This window comes from Homo sapiens, chromosome 18 (assembly GCF_000001405.40).
Source record: "Homo sapiens chromosome 18, GRCh38.p14 Primary Assembly".
In the NCBI taxonomy this organism is placed as follows: Eukaryota; Metazoa; Chordata; class Mammalia; order Primates; family Hominidae; genus Homo; species Homo sapiens.
In genome coordinates, this window is record NC_000018.10 from 7,059,936 (window position 1) to 7,084,698 (window position 24,763).

The window sequence follows — 24,763 nt, forward strand, 5'->3', positions numbered from 1 at the left end:
ATTATTAGAGAATGAAATGTAAAATGACCATTTGAATTAACACTTACTACTCATGAATAAAGAAGCAGTGATTTAATAGGAGGCTAATTACCAATGCAGATATGGCTCACTTCCAGTTTTATAGCGTGTCAATCACGAAAGCACTTAGTCAATTATCAGCACGTGAAGTGGCAACAAAAACTAGCAAAAACTGAGATGCTAGGGAGCTGAGAGGGAAGGAAGGATGTCTGCAATACACATTTTAAATACATTTCTCAGAGCAATTACTTGAAATGTCATTTATATTATATTTCAGTTGGCAGTTTTAACTGTTATCTCATTTTAGGAGCAGCATACTCAACAGACAAAAAGAAACAGCTTCATAAACGAGAAGAACATTTCAGAATAAAACGTGATTTGTTTCTCTTTAAATTTGGTGCTACCATTAGATGTGCAAAATAAACATGTCCCAAAATTAAAACAAAACAAAATATGTCCTTGTCCAGTAACTTTTCTCTTTTTTGCTCCTTTTCTTTTTGCTTTTTGTTTTGATTAGGGGAGGAGGGACAGGCTGCCAATAGTGATAAATTTAGATCAAGCAGATTTCTTTCCTTAAAATTCTTAAAATTCATGTCTCAGACAATCTAGGAATGCTCCCTTCAGAACCATGCTGAGATACTTAAAGTGGACATTGAAGAAAAGCCAAAGTAAGAGAGATGATTGCTGACAAATAGAGGGCACAGAGATACGAGCCCATTTAAAACGTAAATAGTAACCCATGATCGGTAATCTGAAGATAGGAAAGAAATACTTCAAACACCTGTCAGAAGCAGTTCTGACTTCCATCAATTAGAAAAGCGATTTCAAAAGGAGCCCACCCCGCAAGCTGACCCACGGTCCAGGTGTCACCATTTCCATTTGAGGGTGACTAATAGTATTGTTGTTTTAAAAAGTGTGCAGGCTGGGGGTGGTGGCTCATGCCTGTAATCCCAGCACTTTGGGAGGCCAAGGTGGGCAGACTGCTTGAGCCCAGAAATTTGAGACCAGCCTGGGCAACACGGCAAAACCTCATCTCTGCAAAAACTACAAAAAAAATCATGCAGGCATGGTGGTGCATGCCTTTGGTCCCAGCCATGGAGAGGCTGAAGTGGGAGGATCACTTGAGCCTGGGAGGTCGAGGCTGCAGTGAGCCGTGATGGTGCCACTGCACTCCAGCCTGGATGACAGAGCAAGACCCTGTCCCTCATCCCCCACAAAAAGTGTTGAACTGCTTTATCTAAGAAACAGAACAGACAAGTAAAAGGTTGTCTTCCCTTCCTAGTCTCGATGTATTTCTCCCTATAATTGTTCCTGTTGCTCAAGTTGACGAGGTGTTCTTGGTGATTTTGCTAAATTTGTGGAAAATTAGCTGGAACAGCCTCAAAACCACAGCCAGGCATGTCACCAAATGCTCTTTGTGAGGATCTTCATTTCTTTTCCCCACCTTGTAAGATCCACATGACAGCCAAGTGCCCCTAGAATGATATAAACCCACTTGTGAAATGCAGTTACAGGCCATTCTCAGACCTAAGAAATCCAAAAAGCACCTTTTCTATTCCCCAACTCCTAACGATTCCCTTGGCCGTTAACTATCAAGTTTTCACCTAGGACCATCTAAGCCTTTGAAATCACACTAGGCTTTCTCCAAAATGCAGTTCCCCATTTGTTCATGTTGGGACAGTGGTGGCAATGAATGGCATCCCTTCCTTCCTCTTCTGATGTGGAAGTAGGCTCACAAATCTGTCATGGAGATTGGAAAAAGCAGTCTGCAATATTCCATAAAAAAGCAAAACTGGAGGATATGATGTAGATGGGCGCGGTGGAGGCCTGCTCGACACACTCCCTCCTGCATCACAGCCTGAGTGGGTGCTTGTGGACCCACCCTGGAAGCTCTGTCCTGTGGGCCAGTACCTGTGCGTCTGAGAACAGCCTGCACGGGAAAAGAAGAGCACACTGTGCCCTGGGGGAGAGAGTCAGCTGTCCCCGAGTTAGGCAATGACTGCTCCTCCCTTGAGGACAGGTGGGGGAGGGGTGAGCAAAGGAACACTCCACATGGACACAGGACACTGGGGACAAGGGACGCCCACTAACAATTTTTCACTGAAGCTTCGTCCAGTCATCATTAACTGAGCATCTGCTTTGTCACAGGGACTAAGCCAGGTGCCACAAATATGGCAGTGGATGGAAGGTCTATGTGACCCAATGCCCTGGTGGGAAAGCCAGAGGCTGACCAAGTCACCAGGGAGAAGGGTGGAGGCTGTGAGAGTGTCTGGGTGTTGGGGGAAGGCCCATTAACTCTGGAGAAGGCAGATAGTCAGGGAAGTCTTCCCTGAAGGTAAGAGAAGGTATCTCTGAAACCAGATGAGAGATGTCCAGGTAACTGGAGCAAAGGTGAGGAAAGACACTGAGGGGAACTCTGAGGGCAGAGCACAGAGGAAGGAGTGCAGAGATGGCAGGAGAGAGCCGGCGGGCGCCTGGCCAGGGCTGTCGGCCATCACGCAGATGTTTGTGCACCGTGGTTAAAACGCTTAGACCATCCCAGGGACTGAAACCAAGGAGCTACAGGGTCACCGGAGCTGAAGGTCACAGGATTGGATGTTGGTGCCTGGAAATCATGAGAGATGGTGGTGCTGACTTTGTAAACACCAAGAGACCAGAGCAGAGATAAAAGCAACGGGTCTTACAGGGTTTTCTAAAAGGCCAAAACATGAGTGAGAAGGAAAACACAAAGAGGCCAAGCAGTGTCTTCCAGCTCGATCAGATCCCTCTCTCCACTGTAGGAAGAGTGCAGAGTTCTCTCCTACATGGCCCCAAAGCCCACACTTCCCCGCTCTTGCCTCAGTCCCAGAGAATATCTGGCTAAAAATTCAACTTCTTTTCACCTCTTCTCCTAGTCCTCACATTGACCTGTTTTTGCTCCAGTTGATGGAGCGATGGTGAAGAGCTTACAGCTTGCATCCCTTCTTCGCATGCCTTATTATGAGAAAACACACGAGCATCACACTCAGTGACAGTAAAAGGGGCCCTTAATCATTAAGCCTCTAAAATCCAACAGGTGATACTGCCCAGAAAAGCTGTGCAAATCTGTACTTAACGAACTCCATTAAACATTAACCTATTAGTTATACATTTACAACACCCAGAAACAATAATTATGTGTTTTCTTTCCTTTGGGCCCTAAATCTAGCTGAATCGTTGATAGTTTTAGCACTAGAGAGATGAGAAAGTATTGTTTCTTGTGAGTGTGTAAAATTTCACTTTTTATATGGATCCTTGGTCTATATTCTACTTGAAGATTCTCCTTTTTCTTTAGACACATCTAACTTCACTGAGTATCTAACTGACAAATCATAATATTTAAAGCTTATTTTTTAAAAGAGAATATCCAAATATGTAGGATACATAATATATAGGAAGGCTTTTGTTTATTTTTTTAAAAGATGCAGTGGGAATGTAAAATGGTGCAGGTACTATGGAAAACAGTATGGTGGTCCCTCAAAAAATTAAACATAGAATTACAACATGATGCAGAAATTCCTCTTCCAGGTATATATCCAGAAGAAGAGAAAGCAGGGACTCGAATACACATGTACACCAATGTTCACAGCAGCATTATTCACAATAGCTAAAAGGTGGAAACAGCCCAGGTACCCGTTGATGGATGAATGGCTAAACAAAATATGGTCTATGCATACAATGGAATATTATTCAGTCTTTAAAAGGAAGGAAATTGTAATACATGCTACAACATAGATAAGCCTTGAGGACATTATGTACGCTAAGTGAAATAAGCCAGACAAAAGGACAAATAGAATATGATTCCACTTATGTAAGCTTGATTACCCAGAGTAATCAAATTCATAGACAAAAGCTGAATGGAGGCTACCCAGGGCTGGGGGAAGAGAGGAACGTGGAGTTGGTGTTTAAGGGGTACAGAGTTTCTGTTTGGGAAGATGAAAAAGTTCTGGGGATGGATGGTGGTGACGGTTGCACAATATACTTAATGCCACTGTACTGTACACTTAAAAATGGTTAAAATGGCTCCCACTGCAGCCTCAAGTGCCCCTGTCCCACCTGGCTCCCCCTGCTGATGTCTAGTGTTTTTTTCTCTCCTGTCTTTGTATTGAAGGCAGGAAACAAGGGTGTCAAGCCCCCATTCCCTCCCTACTCTGACAGCAGGATTGGATGTTGTGTATTGTGGATTTTTTTTTGTTTATTTTGTTCTGAAATTAAAGTATGCAAAATAGAGAATATGCCATTTTTAATACAAAAAAAGGTTACAATGGTAAATTTTATGATATGCATATTTTATAATAACACCCCCTCCAAAAAAAAAGAGATGAAAAGTGAATGGTATGAAGATTCAACCTTGTGAAAGACTGAGCTGTCTAAGTTGAAAATGAGTAGGAATGTAGTATTTCTAGGCAGGGGCCAACTCCATAGAAACCAATTAAGTCAGTGGAGGTCAAGCAAACAGCTCCGAGGGGATGTTTGAAATCTTATCTTTCTCATGACCTGATTTCGGTCACATTCTTACTGAGCTCTGGCAAGGCATGATGATACTTCACAAAATACAAAACCAGAGCCCCAAACTCAGGACTTTACAGTGAAAGACCCATTGTTCACACAATGCTTTCTCCTTGGTGGCATTTCCTGAACAGCAAGTTCGGGCAGCCCCATTTCTTGCCTGGCTCAGTCTATAAGACTGATACAAGACTGGTATAAAGTTGTAAATGATTCTAAATATTGTTCATCCCACTAGAGACCTACTAAGTGGTTATTTAACTGACATTTTTTTGTGCTTCCTTCATATGAAGAACACAGATAAATATCTTCTGATTACATACCATTAAATAGTAGGAAAAGCAAAAATTCTTAAATTATATGATTGACAATTCTCATGATCGTCTTGTAAATACTACGGAGGAAAAGGTCTTAGAAACTGTTGAACTGCACTGGATCAGTCACTTGCTCTTAAAAGGGTGATTAAGAATAGCCAAGGCCGGGCGCAGTGGCTCACGCCTGTAATCCCAGCACTTTGGGAGGGGGGCAGGTGGATCACAAGGTCAGGAGATCAAGACCATCCTGGCTAACAGGGTGAATCCTCGTCTCTACTAAAAATACAAAAAATTAGCCAGGCATAGTGGCACGTGCCTGTAGTCCCAGCTACTCAGGAGGCTGAGGCAGGAGAATCACTTGAACTCGAGAGGCGGAGGTTGCAGTGAGCTGAGATTGCGCCACTGCACTCCAGCCTGGGTGACAGAGTGAGACTCTATCTCAAAAAAAAAAAAAAAAAAAAACAACGACTAGCCAAAATTTGATCCAAAAACTATTGTACAGAGGGGTGTGGGGGAATTCTCTGTACTTTACATTCAATTTTTCTGTAAACCTAAAACTTCTCTAAAAAATAGTCTATTATTTTTTAAAACAAGAAAACAATTACACATATTCTAGTAATTCTCAACTGATAAGAAAGCTTATGTTGGCCAGGTATGGTGGCTCACACCTGTAATCCCAGCACTTTGGGAGGCCAAGGTAGGTGAATCACTTATCACTTGAGGCCAGGAGTTCGAGACCAGCCTGGGCAGCATGGCAAAACCTCATCTCTACTAAAAATTCAAAAATTAGCCAGGTGTGGTGGCACGCACCTGTAGTCCCAGCTACTCGGGATGCCGAAGCACAAGAATGGCTGGAACGGAGGAGGCAGAGATTGCAGTGAGCTGAGATCGCACCGTTGCACTCCAGCTTGGGTGACAGAGTGAGACTCTGTCTCAAAAATCAGCCCAGTTGGCTGAACAGAAGCGAATAAGTATAATAGTTTTAAAGCTTTACCAAATTTCCCGGGCTATCTCAGTTTGTACAGCTATGCCATCCAGCTAATTATTTGCAGGTTTAAATTTGACCTCACAGTTTTCCTAGCTTCATTTCCGAAACAGTCAGGCCAGAGCGAGTCAGTGCTTTCTAAGTGCCTGCATACAAATTGCAAAGAGACCACAGGTCTGAGGAGGTGCACGGCATCAACAGGCAGCTGTCCCAGTCACTAAGAAGTCTCTACCTTCAGTGCACTTTGGCAGCCTGGTCATCTCACCAAAACCAATGCTTTCAGAGTCAGAATTCCACAATCACCCATATTCCCCTGGAAAAAGGTAGTGATAGGTGAGTAATATATTTTTAATTTCCTATAGCCTAGAGAACTTTAAAACTACATTGAATGTTTTCCATGATTTAGGCTTAAAACGACAAATCCAGAGGATGTATTCTCTACATCCCAGTGCATATTCGTGAATGACGTGGATACAAATCGACACATTTTTCAGATTTTTCATGTAAGCATAAGATGAAATAATGAACAGGAAAGCACTTTATAAAATGCACAATACAGAGGTAAGGTATCAGATTTTTAATCAATATTCCAATGTTCCATAGTTATTCTTGTGACAACTGGAACTTCTCAAAATAATGAGACTTAGAGTCAAATCGGTTCTTTCTCTTTGGTTAGAATATGACTTGAAAAGTCTGTCCAGCCTCTAATATTGATATTCAATATCTAAAAATGTCACCACCGTGTTATAGCAATTTGACTGCCTCAATAGATTAATAATCATAAAATTTACACATGTGAAGATAATAAATCAGACCAAACATTGTTTAAGCATCTGAATTTAGCTTAGTCCTCCCAAAGATATGTCCAGTACAGTGACATAATGTGACAACTCATTATAAACAAATAAATTCTCTGCTATTCAATTAGCATAGGACAAAAAAGAAAAGAAAAGAAAATTCTGATCTCTATACTACCAAGGAATTGTGAAACACACTTTATCACTGTTACTGAGCATATAAATTGAGCAATGTTTTTGAAAAAAATAAGGCAATAAAGATCACATTTTAAAAAATTTAAGCATTTAACCAAATAATCTAATTTTTTGGAATCGACACTAAAAAATAAACTACCGTAACAGCCATAAAATATTCAAATGTTTGTTGCAGCATAACTTAGAATAGCCCCAAATTGGAAACACCTTAAGTGTCTCCCAATGGGAACAGGTTAAATGAATTATTGTGTAGCCAAATGATAAAATATCATTCTTCCATTAAAAATTATTACAGGCATTTTGCTGGTCGCTAGGAAGAAGAAATTGGTAGCACCTGGCTCTCCTCCAGTGAACAGCTAGAACTCTGGACACAGGATATAAACAATGGGTTTCAAATATTGGACAGCAGGCAGCACGGGACAGTGACTCCTGGGAGAAGAGCCCAGGATTGCTTTGCTTTCAGCAGCATTTTTACAATAGACAAAAACTGGAAATACCCAGCAAGACAGTGGATAAATAAATGTTGCTATATCCATAAAGTGAAATTACTACACAGAAATGAATGGAACAAGCCACTCATACAAGCAATGGCATGTGAATCTGACAAACCTCATGCTCACAGAAAGAAGCCAGACACAAAAAAGGACGCACTGTGATTCCATTAATAAGAAGTCATCTCACAGGCAAAACTCTTCCAAAGTGAAAAAAAAAAAAAATTCAGGACAGCGGTTCCTCTGGCTGCTGGGAGGGAGGAGAGCAAGTGGGGAATTGGCTGGGAAGGGGGTGGGGGAGCCTTTTGGGGTGACGCAAACGTTCTATACCAAGGGAATGGCTTATACAAGTGTCTGTATTTATCAAAACTCACCCAACTATACACTCGAGATTTGTGCATTTCACTATATGTCAATTATGTCCCAATAAATAGAAAAGAAAAACGAGAGGAAATGTTTATTCTAGGACTGAATGTACTATGTCAGCTCCACAGACATGCCAGGCTTTCTAATTTCCAGGCCTTTCCCACCCTGCTCTTCCCTGCTGCTTCTTCCTTCTGTATTCCTGCCTCCCTTCCTCCGGTGGGTCCTTTTCGCATTTTTTTTTTTTTGAGACGGCGTTTTGCTCTTGTTGCCCCGGCTGGAGTGCAATGGCACGATCTTGGCTCACTGCAAACTCTGCCCCCTGGGTTCAAGCGATTCTCCTGGCTCAGCCTCCTGAGTAGGTGGCATTACAGGCATGCACCACCATGCCTGGCTAATTTTGTATTTTTAGTAGAGACAGAGTTTGTCCATGTTGGTCAGGCTGGTCTTGATCTCCTGACCTCAGGTAATCCACCTGCCTCGGCTTCCCAAAGTGCTGGGATTACAGGCGTGAGCCACCGCGCCCGGCCTGCATTGTTTCTCTGAGCCACGAAGTGGTCCTTCTGAAGTGTTCTCTGTGCACCCCCGGTCCCTGCACACTCTACACCACTCAGCAGAAGCCTATTTTTCCCCACCAGACCAGAAGCCCCTTGAGAGCTGGGGCCTGCCTTTAAAGATGCAATGAAAGCGAGCCTGCTCATCACTGCTAATAACCAACATACTGAAGGAACCGCCCATGTGTTGTCCACTTTCTTTGCACTAAGGGCTTAATGTGAATCCGATCGTTGTCTTGTTCATCGATGAATCCTGAGATCCCAGTATGCACAAGACAGAGATTCCCTGATTTCTTAAATATATTCAGTGTTCTTAGATATGATGCAATGGAGCAAAAGGTCACCCCTGATTGTAAGAATCACAGGGGATTTTTTAAATAACTTTTTTCTTATATTTTTCTATAGTTTAAAAACTTTCTGCTATTATCTGTTACTAGTACATCAAAATAAAGGAAGTTCTGTGTAGAGAAAAGGTCCACTGAAGACATTAAAAACACAAGAGATATTCTGAGACCTAGCTGAGGTTTTTATAAGCCATGTTTTAAAAACGTTGTTACAGCTTTGTTTTTAAAGATGGAAATACTACAATCTGAGTAGAAGTTAAGTCAATACATAAAAAAGAAAAAAAAAAAGCTAGAATGGATACCAAACTGCACTATATTTTTCAAAGAAATATCTCTTGAGAAATTAAAACTTACCCCTTTTTTTCAGCTTCAATATAATGGAAGAAATAATTTCAGAACGGACTTCCCTTTTTTCCCATAAATATACAAAAATCTTTACTTTGATGCCAAAACAGTTGGGGATATGAAAAGCATTTTGTGATCCAATCCTGCAAAACTGTCTTCACGGATTTCCCTGAATCCTCCCAGGCCAAATGCAGGAAGCCCTGCTGGGTAGAAACACTGAAATAGTGCAGCCAAACCTTGGCAGCTCAAAATCTAAAGAGAACTGAGCTCTGCCAAATGGCAAAATGGTTATCCTGGACTGTTTGGCAATCCCCACCGATAATATGTAAGCGAGAAAGCTTAAATATAAATCGTATCAAGAAACAAAAACTCCATCTTGTTCCTAAAGCCTAGCCTCCATTGTTTTCACTTATTCAGCTCACTTATCGTTAAAAGAACAGTATGTGCATTCCTGTTTGGTTCCTATAAGCTCTTCACCTCACCTAAAGACAGGGGTGCGGCCCCTACAAGATAAGATATGCAAGGCTGCAAAGATTAAAGCCTCCTAGAGAAAGACCCTTTCAGAAGGCTGATGCAGTAGCAGTTTTAAAACAGGCCTCAAATTCTTCACCCCTCCTCCGGTTGACGGGTGAGGCTGGTCTATCTTTCCCAAGTTGAATCTCTGCCAACCTGAGTGACTGGGTGGCTCATACAGCACAGGGAAACTGGCACTGTGTGACTGGAGACCAGGTCTAAGAGGGGACACAACTTCTGCCTCCTGCCCCAAGCTGCCCTATAAGCAAGCTGCCTTAAAGTCGCCATGCTGTGAGGAAGCTCAGGCACCCATGTGGAAAGACCACACGGAGACGCCCTGAACTCTCATGAACATAGCCTCCAGCTGCCCCAGGAACCTTCTCCCAGCTGGTCTGGCACCCTCTTCCCCAGCTGCCCCAAACCCCCTCCTCCAGCTGCCCCAGAGAACCTCTCCCCTAAGCTGCTCCAAGTCTAGCCCCCCATGGTCTGCAGCCTTAGACATACCCACTCAGGCCTTTCCTAAATCCTGACCCCACTGAAATCAGGAAAGGTATAAAATGAATGTTGCTGTTTTAAGCCATAAAGTTTCACAGTGATTTCTTACACAATAGATAACCAGCAGAGAAGCTATGCATGAGAAAATAAAACGAGATAATGAAAATGTGAAAACAAAAGAAAGACCTATTTCTGAGTCTAGTAGCTTCACAGAGAACATGACAACACAGATAAAAATGTCTGAAGGACAGGAATTTAGGGTGGCTTACTTCCAAATCATAATGATGAGCTTAAGATTTCTTCCAATCTATTTATTTTACCAAGCAAATTCAAGAAACCTTAATATTTGAAATTGGTGGAGGCCAGTATGAAGTAATAGAAAACTGGAATAGAATCATTAGAGTACAAAAAGCATACAGTAAAAGTAATTTCTATCTGAGTGCTTCTAGGAAGGGTTTCTGCCTAATCTCTTTCCAGGAACAGCCAAAATTCACTTGTAATGAGACGCTCCAATTTAGATGCAATTCTTGCAATAAAAATCTTTAAAGATTTTATCTTAAGAATGTGAAATTTCCCTATTTTCTTGTTGACCTTGTCGATGTGCTTAATAAATACTTTATATTTGAATGATATAATAATAAACCTCACTCAATACTGGTCAATTTTTCAGAAATTTGGGGGAAAAAACAACTGACATCTGAATTAATGAGGTTTTACAAAACCCAGCACACAAGCAGCTCTTGTCTAAAAGTTTGCATAAAACAAAGGCTCCTCTGTGATTATGTTCCCACAACAAAGTGCTACTTCCTAATTAAACCTACACATAAAATAAAGCACTGCTCCAAAAGGCAGCTTTATTTTCAATGCCATAGGGAACTTCCCTTTTTTACAAAACAGATCTTATCTTCTAAAAGACTATTATACATTTTTACTCACAAATCTGACCCTCACTCCCACTGAAATGTTCTCCGGCTTTAAAAGTTTTTTAAGGAAAATAGGAGATAACTGATTTATTTTCCTGCTTCTTGATCAAAAAAAAAAAAAAAAACACGTTAGGTAGCACCCAATTCTATCAGCCACTGCAAAAGCATGAAGGAAGTGTCAATACCCTGCTGGATTCATAGGGGAGAGGACCCTACTGAGCAGGCAAACAGAACAAGAGGGAAAGGGCTAGAATCTGAACACTCCCAACATCAAGAGGGAATTGCAAGAGCTCTTGCCAGTCTCCCCATAAAGTCAGAACAAAGGAAAACAATAATTGGAGACCAAAGACAAGGAGACAGCGTGGCATGGTGTAGAGGGAACCAGAGGTCCTGGTTTCCAGGCCTAGCTTGAGCACCTGCAGCCGTAGACTCTGGGCAAGCCTGTGACCTGCTTACTCTGTGCCGTGATTTTTGTACCTGCAAAGAGGCGATCACTCGCATTCCAGAACTGCTGGGAAAAGCAGATGAAATAACATGGACGAGGAAAAAAATGCTATAACCCATATCTATAAATTCCTATATATGTACCTGTTAATAACATTCCTCTTTCAAAAGATGCTCAAAACAAAATTAACCATAAATTTGTCATATAAACCTCAAACATGATTGATACTCACTGTATTACTTCATTGGTATACATACGAAATGAACCTTTTTTCACTGAAAGCTCAAGTTATTACCCATAACAGAAAAAGCACCAAAATGTCAGGCCTGAGGATTCTTAGGCAAATGATGCGTAAGCCATATAGAAACTATTAATGCAGCTTTAACAATTATTAATCATGAGTTTCAGTTATACTGGGAAATGTTCATGCTATACAATTACATAAAACATTAGAACACAAATTTATATATCACATAATCTGTCTCAGCTGGAGGGTCAGAGTGGTGCAATGATGCAGAGCTCAGGCTCTTAAGCTTCAGTGAGTCCTACCCTTGAGCAAGCCTCTTAAACTCTCTAAGTCTCAGTTTCGTCATCTGTCAAAAGGGGATAATAACAGGAGCCAAGTCACAGGCGATTATGAGAATTCAATGACATAATCCTGATCAAGTGCATAGCACAATGTCTGGCACAGTAAGTATGTAATACATGATAGTATTGTTGTAGCATTATTAAATGCATAGAATTGTAGGCAAATGACAAAGTAAATATCCCAAGGGATCAATTAGCGATTGTTACAGAGCGAAGAGATGATGTGTTTCTGCCTGTTTACACTTATCTTATCTTCCATTTTTCTATGATGATTCCATCTTAATTTCCTAATCAGAAAAAACAGAATAATTATTGACTTATGAATTTCTCAAAATCTGCATAACTGCACTCCTTAATCCTGTTAGCTAACTGTAATTAGATTCTATTAAGGCCTGGTTTAACATTTCCCTTGGTGATATCTGAAGATCTTTGGGAACCTAAAGTAATTTGTGTATTAGAAATATGACAGAGGGAAAGAAAACTCATGTTTATTAAATGTGAGGAGTTTGTTAGGTACTCTACATCCTTCAAGCTATCACATTTCACTTTGTATATATCACCCTACCACACTTCATGCATCTCCACCACATCACACCACCAAAACCCAATAGTTAATACATAAATGGAACTGCTTCTGTATTTCCTCCATCCCTGTCCTGAAGGTCCCAGGACCAAGCTGGTGCCCTGATGCAGTCTCTCGGCTGAGAACCAAGAATACCTAGTTTGTAATGTATTAGACAGCAGTCCATGATTTCTCCAGGAGAATTCTAAAATTTGCATTTTCATTCCAAAGTTATTCTAAAAAACTTAATATGAGCATATTTAGGATGTGGCTGACCACCATAATAACAAAATCCTGCCCCAGGATGTCGAGGGCTGCTCTGTCTCTGTGTTTCTGTTGGTATACTGGTGCAAGTGACCACCTACTGAGAAGAAGTGTTTGCGCTGGTTGCTAAGCACCTGCCAGCCCAGCTTTGGATGCTGAGGCTGGGACGCTGCAAATCGATGCTCCCTGACGGCGACACTAGTGGGAGGCTGGAGGGCTGGAGGGAGGCAGGACTTCTCCCATGTCTACTTCCGGGTCCTATCAGCCTTGCCCAGCAGCGGCCCTCTGCCTTGGGCTGTAGCAGCTGACTCCAGCCTCCAGCTTTCCAGGACCCCCAGAAGAGCATTCTGAAAGATAGGAGACTCTCTTCCCAGGCTCTAGGTGCTATAACCACACCCTCCTGCGTTGCTGCCTCCTCCACCACTACTACCCCCAAGTTACCTTCCTGCTCCCTCTCCCAGCTCTCCCACACTGTCAAACCAATTCCTCACACTAAATTTGTGCCTTTAAATGACTGGTGTGGCTTCCATATTCCTGACTGACCCTGGCTGACATAATACACCAAATATTTCACAGTGTATTAACTTTTTTAAGTTGTAGAAAAATATACGTAACATAAAAACCACGACTTTAGCCATGTTTAAGTGTAGAATTCAGTGGCATTAAGTATATTCACACTGTTGTGCAATGATCACTACCATCTATCTCCAGAACTTCCGAACCTAAACTGTGCACCCATTAAACAACAACTCCCCATTCTCTCTCCTCCCAGCTCCTGGCAACCACCCCGCTCCACTTTCTGTCTCTATGAACTGACTTCTCCAGGTACTTCATCCAAATTGATTCATATAATATTTCTTCTTTTGTGTGTGGCTTATTTCATTTAGCGTAATGTTTCCAGGGTACATACATGCTGTGGTATGTGTCAAAATTTCATTCCTTTTTAAGGCTAAGATTCTACTGTATGCACATACCATGTTTTGACTATCCATTCACCTGTTGATGGTTGATGGACATCTGGGTTGCTTCCACCTCCTGGCTACTGTGAATAATGCTGCTCTGAACACTGGCATCTGTTTGAGTCCCTACTTTAAATTCTTTACGGCATTCCCTAGTAGTGGAATTGCTGTAATTCTATGTTTATTTCTGAGGAACAACCATACTGGTTGTGTGTGTGTGTGTGTGTGTGTGTGTTTATGAGAAGGAGTCTTGCTCTGTCGCCAGGCTGGAGTGCAGTGGCGTGATCTCAGCTCACTGCAACCTCCACCTCCCGGGTTCAAGCTATTCCCCTGCCTCAGCCTCCCAAGTAGCTGGGATTATAGGCATTGGCCACCACGCCCGGCTAATTTTTTGTATTTTAGTAGAGACAGGGTTTCACCATGTTGGCCGAGATGGTCTCAATCTCCTGACCTCGTGATCTGACCTCCTCGGCCTCCCAAAGTGCTGGGATTACAGACATGAGCCACCACGCCCGGCCAGAACAACCACACTGTTTTTCATAACACTGTGCCATTTTACATTTCCACCCACAGTGCACAGGGTTCCATTTTCTTCACATCCTCACCAACACTTATTATTTTCCAACTCTTTCAATATAGCAATCCTAATGGGTGTGAAGGGGTATCTTATTGTGGTTTGATTTTCACTTCCCTATTGAATAATGACGATGAACATCTTTTCATCTCAACAGTGTATTAACTTTTAAAATAGTGGTTCTCAAACAGGAAATCTTCATGTTCTTCTACTGAGAAATGCTACCATAGGGAATAAATTTTCCTGTAATTCGTGGAACCTATAGGATTTTGGACAATTATAAATGCAAGATTCATGAAATGTGCATGCTCTTTCAGAATAATTTCTCTTAAATTTTAAGTTGTCAAAAAAGATCACTGTTCAGTGGTAGTATTGATATATGAGATCCTAAACCACTTGGTGAGCAGCATTTTATTAATGGAGACCACAACATATATGTTAATTTTGTATTTGTTAAAGTTGATGATTATTATGCTTTACTTTTCTTAAAAATATCACACACATGAAATTCCTATGAATTTTTTAAAAGTAAGATACTGCTAGATATCTGACAGTGTATCTTCTAAAATACTGTGAATCAATGAAAGAAGTGAATAGTAGACATTATTTTTAAAAAGCAAAGAAGTAAATCTCATTATTCCTCTTGTAATACATTACTAAAATAAACAGTAGTTAAACCTTATTGCAAACCATACAACATTTATGGACTTCTGATAAGACTACTTTTTAATCTTTTCTTTAGTTTATCTTGCAGATAACCAAACCTAATACATAGAGGCAAAAAAAAAAAAAAAAAAAAAAAAAAAAAAAAAAAAATGCTGTAATTCTGACAGCTGTCATCAATTAGAGAATCAGGAACAGGATCAATGTTAGCATTTGCCAACACAGAATGCAGCTAATTTGGTCATAAAACCTCAAGAGCTGATATTTACCAAGTTACACAAACACATTTATAATATTAAGTTTTACAACTCTTGATAAGACTAAGGTCTACCTGTAATTTTACTTTAGAAATCTATACTTTAGATTTTACATTTTTATAGTACTGAAACAAAGCAGCCAAAAGGTTTGTTCCTTGTTCTTTTCTATTCAGACTGTGAACAAGAAAAGAGGAGGGGGGGGAAGTTAAAAAAAATTTTTAAAAAAGCACAAGGTCAGGCGCGGTGGCTCACACCTGTGATCCCGGCATTTTGGGAGGCCAAGGTGGGCAGGTCACCTGAGGTTGGGAGTTCGAGGCCAGCCTGACCAACATGGAGAAACCCTGTCTCTACTAAAAATACAAAATTAGCCGGGCATGGTGGTGCATGCCTGTAATCCCAGCTACTCAGAAGGCTGAGGCAGGAGAATCGCTTGAACCCTGGGAGGCGGAGGTTGCAGTGAGCCGAGATCGCGCCATTGCCCTCCAGTCTGGGAAACAAGAGCGAAACTCCGTCTCAAAAAAAAAATAACGGAAGAAAGAAAGCACTAGGCTGGGCGCGGTGGCTTACGCCGGTAATTCCAGCACTTTGGGAGGCCGAGGCAGGCAGATCACTTGAGGTCAGGAGTTCAAGGCCAGCCTGGGCAACATGATGAAACCACGTCTCTACTAAAAATACAAAAATAGCTGGGTACAGTGGTGTGTGCCTGTAGTCCCAGCCACTTGGGAGGATGGGGTGGGAGAATCTCTTGAACCTGGGAGGCAGAGGTTGCAGTGAGCCGAGATCACGCCAATGCACTCCAGCCTGGGCGACAGAGTGAGGCTCCATTTAAAAAAAAAAAAAAAGTACTGATCCATAATGCAATTATTGACTCAGTGCCTGAACTGTGCCAATGTCTGGGTGTGCAGAAGTGAATAAGACATCTCTCTATAAATACTAACCAGGAAAGGAAAGGGCAGAGAAAGAAAAGTAGAAGACAGCTGTGGTCCCATCCCTCATGGAGTATATAGTCTAGAAAACAACTGGTAGTTGGCTAATGGCTAAGGAAACATGCAGATTTTGGCAAGGTAAAAAAAAGTCATCAGAAGGTGTAGCCATGCTGTAGATCTGAATGTCAGTGAGATCTAAGAAACAATGGGGATATGGGACAGAAAAAAGGAAGTAACATTACAAGGAAGAAACCTGACTTTTAACACCCAGAGAGAATTCAAATTTAGCACCACTACTAGTGGGACAACCAGCCCTGGGTGCCTCCTGATGTGAGGTGAGAGGATGGCTGGTGATGTGGTCTTCTGAAAAACACTTAACTGGAATCTAATCAGGTCTCTAGAGCTGAATTTGGTGTATAGGAAATAGAGAGCACAGAAGAATATGTTAAATAAAACCATGAAGAAACAATCTGACAAATCCAGAATGTGGCATATTCTACAGGACAACTGGTCTGGTCTATTCATATATTCAATAGCATTTTTTTTAAGTGAAGGACAATTCAGATGAGAAGAGATTTAAGAAGCATAGCAATCCAATGCAACAAGTGGTCCTTACTGGATCCTGGTTAAAAAAAAAAAAAAGCAGTAAAAGATACTAGTTGATAAACTGGGAAAATTGAATGTGGATGGGAAAAGAGTTATTAAGAAATTACTGTTAATTTTGCCCAAGGAGGCTGAAATGGTATGGTATCTAATCAGAACAAACGTCTTTATTTTTTGAAGACACAAACTGAAGGACTGGCAAAATGTTGTGATGACTGCAATTCACTGAAACGAACATGGTCCAGTGTTTTAAAATCCCCAAATCTCAAGGGTGGGTATATGTGTATTCACTGTAATATGCTTTCTACATATGCAAAAGTGTTTGTAATAAAAAGGCTCAATAAATAAATAAATCTGAGAAAGGCTTGATCAGATATAAGCATAATGTGCTTTGTTTAAAAAAAAACAAAGCACAGCAGAATTTTTATACTGTGTAAATGGTAAAGAAATTTCTGAATACTAATTATTTTAAGTGATCTTATTTTAAAAGCATATCCTAAAACACTAAAAATTACCTAAAGCAGCCTATAACTATATGTCTATGGTTTTTTCTGTTCTTTTCTTTTTTTTTTTTTTTTTTTTGAGACGGAGTCTCGCTCTGTCGCCCAGGCTGGAGTGCAGTGGTGCAGTCTCGGCTCACTGCAAGCTCCGCCTCCTGGGTTCACGCCATTCTCCTGCCTCAGCCTCCCGAGTAGCTGGGACTACAGGTGCCCACCACCACGCCTGGCTCATTTTTTTGTATCTTTTTTAGTAGAGACGGGATTTCACTGTGTTAGCCAGGATGGTCTCGATCTCCTGACCTCGTGATCCGCCCACCTCAGCCTCCGAAAGTGCTGGGATTACAGGCATGAGCCACTGCACCTGGCTGTCTATGCTTATTTTTTAAAAATGCCTTAAACATCTAAAATGGAGACTGCCTTCTGGAATTCCTCAGACTAACTTAGTCCATCCCTTCAGGATGAAGTCAAGCATGACAAATTTCAAGACAAAGGATAGACTTACAGAGGTTTGAAATCTATATGTAAAATGTCCAGGTCTTAATTTGGCCAAACTCATATAATATCACATTCTTAATAATGAACACAGTTTTACTTTTTCCTTTAGAAAAAGGAAAATATGTCAGAAAGGTGATGGGAAAAACCGAAATCTTCCAGAGAACCATTCTTACCACTGAGATAAACACAAAGGCCAGGGTTAAAAAGAAGCTCTTGGCTGGACGTGGTGCTCATGCCTCTAATCCCGGCACTTTGGGAAGCCGAGGCCGGTGGATCACCTGAGATCAGAAGTTCGAGACCACACTCCTGTAATCCCAGCTACTCAGGAGGCTGAGGCAGGAGAATCGCGTGAACCCGGGAGGCAGAGGTTGCAGTGAGCCAAGATCCAGCCACTGCACTCCAGCCTGGGTAATAAGAGTGAAACTCCGTCTCAAAAAAAAAAAAAAAACAAAAAACAAAACACAACAACAAAGAAGCTCTTTTCAAAGAAGCTCTTTTCTCTTTTTATTTTTTTTTGTTTTTTATTTTATTTTATTTTATTTTATTTTTTTTGAGACAGAGTCTCGCTCTGTCGCCCAGGCTGGAGTGCAGTGGTGTGATCTCGGCTCACTGCAACCTCTGCCTCCTGGGTTCACGCCATTCTCCTGCCTCAGCCTCCCGAGTAGCTGGGACTACAGGCGCCTGCCACCACGCCCAGCTAATTTTTTGTATTTTTAGTAAAGACGGGGTTTCACCGTGTTAGCCAGGATGGTCTCGATCTCCTGACCTCGTGATCCACCCGCCTTGGCCTCCCAAAGTGCCGGGATTACAGGCGTGAGCCACCGCACCTGGCTCTTTTCTCTTTTTCTTTAAGGGGATTTGAAAATATTAAGGAGTGTCACATTAATTCATGTCTTATACCTGAAAGCTATTAAAAGTGTTATTTTACTTTCATAATACTGTGAACCTGAACTTGGAAAATGTCTCCTGAGCTGCACATCTTGCTACCTTATTTGCTGTAATTATTACAGAACACAAGTTCCTTGTACATCAATATATGAAGTATCACCTTGTCTTCTTAAAATCCTGCACATTTGGCCAGGTCTGGTGGCTCACTCCTGTAATCCCAGCACTTTGGGAGGCCAAGGCAGGCGGATCACGAGGTCAAGAGATGAGACCATCCTGGCCAACATAGTGAAATCCTGTCTACTAAAAACACAAAAAAATTAACCAGGCATGGCGACAGGAGCCTGTAGTCCCAGCTAATCGGGAGGCTGAGGCAGGAGAATCGCTTGAACCGGGGAGGCGGAAGTTGCAGTGTGCCGAGATCGCGCCACTGCACTCCAGCCTGACGACAGAGTGAGACTTTGTCTCAAAAAATAAAAAATAAAAATAAAAAATAAAAAAAAATTCCTGCACATTTTAAAACTATCACTTATTCAAAGAATTCTGATTGTCATTAAATCTCTATAATTCCTATTTAAATCCTACAATGCACATCACAATTACTTGTGTCTTTTAACCGATCTCATATTTTACATGAAACTTATGAGTTCTAACACAAGAGAAACTGAATGGAAATAAATAAGAATTAATGCGATGGCTTTTCTGAAAAGCTCAAAACAGAACCAGGACAACAGCTCCAAAACACCTGCCATCTCTCTTTTTCATTCCTTCCACTCAGACTCCTTTTGTTTTTCTTTCCCAGGAACATCAGGGCAACTGGGGCTCATCTCATATTTCTCTCCATCCTCCTATGTGGACTTGAAGCAAGGTAAGGAGATGCAGGTGTGGCTGGAGCCAGTCATACCTTCCCTCTCCCCACTCATGCTGAAGGCACTGCTTAAGTTACTATTGGGCAACTCCAGCTTACCTGGCCCAGACAGACTACATGTGGCAGGGGAGACACAGTCAAGAGGTTTAACACCGTTTTGTCTTTTTTTCTTCTAGCCTTATATAATCCTTATACAATAACTTACTCAATGACATTAGCAAGACAGTAAGCTAAAAGTTAGGAAATACATGTGTTTTCCCCCTCTCCCTCCCCATGCATCTGTTGGCAGCCAGCAAACAGCCTGACATGATACCCTGGATGGATGAGTGTGCCCTGTTGACACAGCTTCGAAGAACATCAACCATATGGAAGCAATTTCACCCATCTCCCTGAAGACACCTGGGAATGATGAAAGTGACAAGAAATGGCACCAGGGACTCCTTCTGTATACCACTTGCCTTCACCTGGTGGAAATAGTGAGATTAGAATGTAAATGTGTTCAGAAAGAAGCCAGACTTTCCCAAAGGTCATCAGAAGACCACAGCTCAGCAGCCTGTAGACACTCTTCAATGGTTCTGGGCTCACCTACCTGTCTTAAGTCCAGAGTGATTGTGACCCAGTGATATTCTCTCCCATTCTGAATGCTGGGACTTTGCCACCAGTTATTGGTGCCATCTATGGCATGTGATATTGGATGGCGTTCTGTTGAAAGAAAATAAAAAACATGAATTCCTCTCGGCTGTTGCTTTAAATTTCTTAAGTTCTAAACCGTAATGCTAGTGGAAACAAAGAGCAGTGAAGGTGAACACAATGTTTATGGCTTCCTAACAGAAGTCTCAGTCCTCATTTCACAAAGTGTACATTCCCATGGGAATTTCAGAAATAAAGGCGCGACACTTGCCTCTGGGGTTTGCGCTGTTGCCATCACAGATCCGGCACTGTGGGTTTCGGACGGGCCGACCTGGCACATGCTCCACAAGTTTGCAGAACATCTCCGGCCCCTTCTCGCCACAGGTGGCATTGGTGCTGATGTGAGCATTGCTGGCAAGATTGAGAATGGCAGGAAACAGGCCTGAAAGTGAAAATTTACCAAATCAGCTGAGCCACTTGAAATCCAAAGAATGAGCTTACCCCATCCCACTTGGTAGGTGAATCAAAAGGAGATTGAAAGTCTATGTGCTGAATGAAGGAATCCTTACACAAACACCGTATACGCAGCATGGTTTCATCTATATGAAATTCTGGGAGAAGCAAAATTCATCTACGGAGAAAAGTCAAACCATTGTTGCAGGGGGTGGGGATTGACTATGAAACGACAGAGGAACTTTCTAGGGTAATACGTTCATATCTCGATAAAGCTTTGGGTTTCACAGGCAGATGCAATTGTGAAAAATCATAGAATGAGTACACCTAAGTAAGATTTGGGTAGATCCGTGTATCTTAGTATGTGCACGTTCTACCTCAAAAATAAATAAATAAATAAAAGAATCATAAATACCAATGTACATGCGGAAATGTTTAGGAGTAAAGTCTACTTATGTCTCCAATTCACTTCGAAATGCACCACAAAGTAAGCTGGCTTCCAATGATATGCCATCTCACACTAGTCAGAATGTCTATTATTAAAAAGTCAAAAAACAACAGATACTGGAGAAGCTGTGGAGAAAAGGGAATGCTTATATACTGTCGGTGGGAGTGTAAATCAGTTCAGCCGCTGTGGAGATTGTGCCACTGCACTCCAGCCTGGACAATAGAGCGAGACTGAGCCTCAAAAACAACAACAAAAAAAAACCAAGGCGAGAGTATGGGTGTTCACTGTACAATTCTTTCCACTTTTCTGATTGAAAATGTTTACAATAAAATGTTGTGAAACAGGCCTTAAGGGAAGTTTCAAATGATCCAATGCATATATTTATCAATGCAATCCAAACGTCTTTCACTTGAAAGAAGGGCATTTATTCTGTCCTCACTTTGGTCCAGTTGACTCTGGTAGTATTTACAAGGTCTTTTCTATAATTATCTAGGATTTTTTTTGTCTCTCTCTTCTCTTTCTTTACTCCTGTTTTCTTTGCTGAATAAAATTTTAGAACACAAAGATACAGTTTTCAAAATGCTTTTCAAGTCATTATTGATCTTTGCCTTTGTACTGTTCCTTTGTCTCAGCTGATTTTATCTTTAAGCAGCCAAGATCAGTACCAGGTCCAAACTATTCAGGAAACAATTTCTGGGTGACTGTGAGAAAAGTACCTCCATTCGGTTCTTTGGAGATTTAACTTTATCTTGGTAAAAGGGGATAGCAGCAGTGAAGATTCTGTAAAGATCTAGAAACAATGGTGTACGCGATGTTGAAGAGACATTCTCCAGGCATGGACACTGAGCTGAGAGCATACTGCGAGGGTCTCAGCTTAGTGGCGTTTCTCTAACATAGTACAGCTTGATCTTAAAAGATCACAGAATATAATCTTTTCTTTGTAAAAACCATATAGAAATACCATTACTGAAATGTTTATTTTTCAGTGAAATTTAAAATAGCACAGTGTAATTTTAGTAACACAGAAGGAATTCATGGCTTCCACTGTTATTTTTTAGGCACTGCCTAATACGTTCAATGATCTTTTCCATTATAAATATTTTAAATTTTAAATTATCAAACAAAAATGGTTATTTCTCTAACACTTGCTACACTAAAAACCTTACCATGCATCTATTAAAAAAATACATTAGGTAGTCTTTCAAAAACTTTTTACATAAAACAGAACTACCTATTAGTAATTCTGTCAAATAGAAGGACCCCATTCTGTCAATAAGTCCTTACCCTCTCAAGATAAAATAGTTATTTAATATTTGTACTCTAAAGCATTATTCTTAATTTTGAAACATAGCATGAACTTACATCATATACTATGTTTAATATATTTATTTTCATTTTTAACTTAAAGATGCTTATTTTTATCATATCCCTGTAAAGGGACTTCGTTTGTTTTTAATATAAAATAAGAAAAAAAAATGCTTTATGCGGAACCAGATGAGTCATTGTGTTTAATCATGCAGCTCCCCAATTTATTATTTTCATCAACCAGTAGTTAGACAGTTATATTTTATGTAATAATGTAGCTCCTACAGTAACACATACATTCTTATGTGTGGTACTTACCTGTAGCAGGGGCTGACGTTTATTCTATTTAGTACTAAGATAAACAATAATTTCCTCCATCCTTTATGACCATAATATTCAGGTATTCTGATTCAAATTTCTCTTATCAGCTAATCATTTTAAATAAAATATGCTTTTAAACTATAGCGTTTTGTCCAAACAGCTAAAATGACATTTTTTGGCTCTGTATTACATACATGCAATTAGATTTACAGTACAATCAACTCTATCCATTCCCTTCACAAAGACTAGTCAAGCAAGAAAAAGAAACCAAGGTTACAAGAACTGACTTCACAATGCATTTCTCTATTAACAACAAATACTTCACCAGTTAACGAATGTTCCCACTTGCTCCTTATTCACCCCCACCAGTTGCAGGACATCAAAAGAACTCCCCACTACCTCCCAATCTGAGTAACTGCAGGGTCTTGTGTTATTGAGGAGGGGAGGGGGCCAGGGAGTCATGGAGGCACCACACACTGTGTATGCTGGAGTCTTTGCCCTGAGCCACTGAGAAAAAGCAGCTCAAACCTCATGAACATAAATTTAACTGTTTTTGGAGAATAATATCTCAGTTATAGTAATCAGCATCAGGTAGTTCTTTGCACTAGACAGGTTTCTTACCTGGCTGTTCTAAATATATATATATATACATTTTTTTTTTTTTTGAGACATAGTCTCTGTCGCCCAGGCTGGAGTGCAGTGGCACGATCTTGGCTCACTGCAACCTCCACCTCCCGGGTTCAAGCGATTCTCCTGCCTCAGCCTCCTGAGTAGCTGGGATTACACATGCGCACCACCACGCCCAGCTAATTTTTGTATTTTTAATAGAGACGGAGTTTCACCATGTTGGTCAGGCTGGTCTTGATCTTCTGACCTCAAGTGCTCCACTCGTCTCGGCCTCCCAAAGTGCTGGGATTACAGGCTTGAGCCACCGCGCCGGGCCCTAAATATACTTTTAATAAAAAGAAAGATTGCTTTTTTATTGAAAGTATATTTAGAAGAAATATACTTCATTAGCATGCCTATGCAAGTAAAACCTTCAAATAATTAATTTCATAAAAATATTTGGGTTGTCTTTCACTAAAACTAAATCTTCCTTCTCAGATAAGCTAATATTTGGAAAAAAATATTCACTAAAAATGATGTCTTACATATTATATTTACTCCCTTTTCATAGTTAATCACTATCCTTTTGTTGCAAAGAACCACATCTGTTCCAAGATGAAAGAAGATGAAAGAAGGTTGGGGCCGGGCGCAATGGCTCACGCCTGTAATCCCAGCACTTCGGGAGGCCGAGGCGGGCGGATCACTTGAGGTCAGGAGTTCGAGACCAGCCTGGCCACCATGGTAAAACTCCATCTCTACTAAAATTACAAAAAAAATTAGTGGGGCATGGTGGCACATGCCTGTAATCCAGCTACTCGGGAGGCTGAGGCAGGAGAATCACTTAAAGTTGAGAAGCGGAGGTTGCAGTGAGCTGAGATCACGCCACTGCACTCCAGCCTGGGCAACAGAGTGAGATTCTGTCTCAGAAAAAAAAAAAAAAAAAAAAAAAAAGCGGCGGTGGGGCTGTGGGGTTAGAAATGTGTACTAGAGCAAGCATGTTTTAAACAGAATTTTTATTTTTTTTTTAGATGGGGTTTCACTCTTTTTGCCCAGACTGGTAAATAGAATTTTTTTTAAAGTCCCTAAGGTTGCTGACTCATTGCAGACTACTGAAATAGTTCAATAAAGGGGAACCACATGACCATTGAGCAGGAGGTGAGATAGGAAATCAGAGAGTGAGAAGGAGCATTAGGATCAGGACAGTACCAAGAAGCTATGTTTGGTTTTACACATAAAAATCAAGGGTAGAACGAGGACTGTAGCTATGTGGCGTGACACAGTTTTCCCACTACTTCATCAAGGACTTAATAAATTAGTCTGCATGTTTTTTGTTGAGAAATGTTATTCACTTCAGTTACTGTTACTGTGATACTAATTTTTACTTTTTTCTTCCACTCAGGACACACAATGGAATCATTCCTCTACTGTGGATTTAACCAGCAGCTAAAAAATTTATAAAGCCAAACTCCATCGAGCATGAAATAAATTCCTTCTCACTCACTAGCAGTTACTGTTTTTAAACCCTTTCTGTACACTTGGCCTTTTGAAGT

The 24,763-nt window shown here is 40.9% G+C and overlaps 1 protein-coding gene across 1 annotated transcript in view; it reads right to left on the reverse strand.

The window, feature by feature from the left end:
• Nucleotides 1–24,763, reverse strand: part of LAMA1 (laminin subunit alpha 1) — a 176,056-nt gene that overhangs the window by 118,194 nt on the left and 33,099 nt on the right. Inside the window, exons 2-3 of the mRNA NM_005559.4 lie at nucleotides 20,352–20,522; nucleotides 20,040–20,152 (exon numbers count right to left, since the gene is read on the reverse strand). Coding sequence (NP_005550.2) covers nucleotides 20,040–20,152; nucleotides 20,352–20,522 — 284 coding nt within the window. The remainder of the gene's footprint in view (nucleotides 1–20,039; nucleotides 20,153–20,351; nucleotides 20,523–24,763) is intronic.